Source organism: Homo sapiens, chromosome 11 (assembly GCF_000001405.40).
Source record: "Homo sapiens chromosome 11, GRCh38.p14 Primary Assembly".
Classification (NCBI taxonomy): Eukaryota; Metazoa; Chordata; class Mammalia; order Primates; family Hominidae; genus Homo; species Homo sapiens.
The window spans coordinates 2221992-2224459 of record NC_000011.10 but is presented as its reverse complement, the minus strand read 5'-3'; the positions used below and the strand labels follow the sequence as shown (position 1 = coordinate 2224459).

Below are 2468 nucleotides of genomic sequence, written 5' to 3'. Positions count from 1 at the left end.
TAATTTTGCCAAGTTCTAAGCCATTATAACTGCAAACATCTCTTCTGCTCCATTCCTTTTTTCTTCTCTTTCTGGTATTCCAACTACAAGTATGTTACATTTTTTAAATTTCCCTCAGTTTTTGGTTGCTCTGTTCTGGTTTTGTTTTGTTTTTTTCAATTCCTCTTTTTTCCTTTGCATTTCAGTTTGGAAAGTGTCTGTTGATCTGTCTTCAAGCTCCTCAATTCTTTCCTTAGACTTGCTTAGCCTATTGATAATCCCATTGAAGGCGGTCCCTGTTTCTGCTAAAATGTTTTTTATTTCTAGCATTTCCTTTTGATTCTTTCCCAGGATTATCATATCTCCGCTCGATTACCCATCTTTTCTTAGCATTTTGTCGATTTTTTTCATTAGAGCTCTTAGCATGTTAATCATAGTTATATTAAATTATCTATGTGATAATTCTGACATCTGTGTCATATCTCAGTCTGGTTCTGTCACTTGTTTTGTCTTTTGAAGCTGTGCCTTTTCTTATCCTTTGGTGTGCCTTGTAAATTTTTTGTTTATCAGGTAATAGAAACTGAGGTAAAGAGCCCTCTACTGTGAGGGTTTATGTTATTCTGACAGGGAGTCAGGTATGAGGGGGAGAATAGTGTTCTATATTCTCCCAATTAAATGCCTTACAGTGAGCCTGTGCCTCGGGCTGAAACCTTCACAAGTATTTCCCAGTGTCATAGCTTTTGCAACTTGGGAGTGACAGGAGAGCTAGAAGGGGCTGGAGTTGGGGAAATGCCCTTCACCCAGGTGGGATAAGGCTCTGGAAACATCTTTCCCCAGAAGAGTAGTACTTTGTTATGGAAATTGCTCCACAATTACTCTTCACCCCTGCCCCCTACCTGCCTCCTACCAGGCTCTTCTGCGCTCTTCACAGTGAGAAACTGGTTCCTGGAGGTAAAGTCCATGAAAGCGTGGAGCCCCCAAGACTGCACACCCCCAGGATCTCTTACTCTCAGGGTAGCCTGTCTCAGCAGTTGATCAGAACTACCATTTAAACATCTGTGTCTGTTTGTGTCTCCCGTGGCTTCTACTCCAGTAAGCCAGTCTTGGCCACAACTCTCTGGACTTCCCCATTTCCCTGATTTCAGGAGAGTGATTTGCTCTACAATCTCAAGTCTCTGATGGGTCTGAGAAAGTTAGTGATTTTCAGGTTGTTCTGCTTTTTCCGGTGGAAGGATGGGAGCTCTTTACATGTTGAGGGTGAAAATAAAAATCCATTCTTTTTTCAGAATGTTTTTGTCCCTCCCTATTCTTTCCTTCAGGCCCTCTAATTACTTGTATACTAGGCCACCTGAAATTGTCCCATAGCTCAATGATACTCTTATCATTTTAAAACAATTCTTGTTTTTTCATTTCATTTGGAATATTTTCTATTGGTATATCTTTAAGTAATCTCATCCAGTGTATTTTTTATCTCAGACATTGCTGTGTTCATACTGACAGCTCAATTTGGTTCATTCTTACATTTTTCACATCTCTCCACATCTCTGTTTAGCTCTTTGTACATAGGGAATGCAGTTACAATAACTGTTTTAATGTCCTTGCCTGCCAATTCTAACATTCATGTCTGTTCTGGGTTTGTTACAATGGGTTGATTTTTCTCCCCATTATGGGTGTATTTTCTTGCTTCCTTGCAGATCCCACAATTTTTTATTGGTTGCAGATGTTGTGAATTTTGCCGTGTTGGATACTGGATACGTCTGCATTCCTATGAACACGGCTGAGCTTTGTTCTGGGATGCAGTTAAGATACTTTGGAACAACTTGTTCCTTTCATATCTTGCTTTTATGGCTTGTCAGGCAGGCCTGGGACATTACTCCATCCAGGGCTAATTATTCCCCACTGCTGGGGCAAGACCCTTTTATTGGTACACTACCCAATGCCCTGTGAATCATGACATTTTCCAGTCTGGCTGGTGGGAACTGGTTCTTCTCCCAGTTCTGCATAGGTACTGGGTCTTGCAGCCCCGAACCCTTTCAGTTGGTCCTTCCAGGCTTGGGTCATTCCCTCCCAGGCCTGTGATGAATGTATCCTGCTGAATATTTTAGGGGGAACCTTCTGGAGATCTCCAGGGTTCACTCTTTGTACCACTCTCTTCTCTGCCCTGCAAACTCTAGCCACCTTGGTCTCCCCAAACCCCCAATTCTGTTACCTCAACTTGGATTCATTGGGCTCTGCCTCAATTTTCCTCCCTGTATTGCAGTCCAAAAACTCTCTCAGGGCAGCAAGACAAGGCAATTGTAGGGCTCACTTTGTTTTTCTTCTCTTGGGGATCACTGTCCTTCTTTGCCCAATATCCTTTCTTGAAAACCAGTGTTTCTTTTTTTTTTTCTTCTTCAATCTTTTTGCTTATTATTTCAGCTGAGAGGGGAAACCCAGTTCCTGTTACTTCGTCTTTGCCAGAAGTGGGTGAAAAGCCTTGGAGAGTGTCA

The 2468-nt window shown here is 42.0% G+C and overlaps 1 annotated feature.

Moving 5' to 3' along the window:
* Positions 523-1097: an enhancer, noted in NCBI's record as "OCT4-NANOG hESC enhancer chr11:2244593-2245167 (GRCh37/hg19 assembly coordinates)". NCBI's record gives its function as "activates a minimal SCP1, AML or CMV promoter by ChIP-STARR-seq in naive H9 embryonic stem cells {active_cell/tissue: H9 hESC(naive)}" and the evidence as "EXISTENCE:reporter gene assay evidence [ECO:0000049][PMID:30033119]".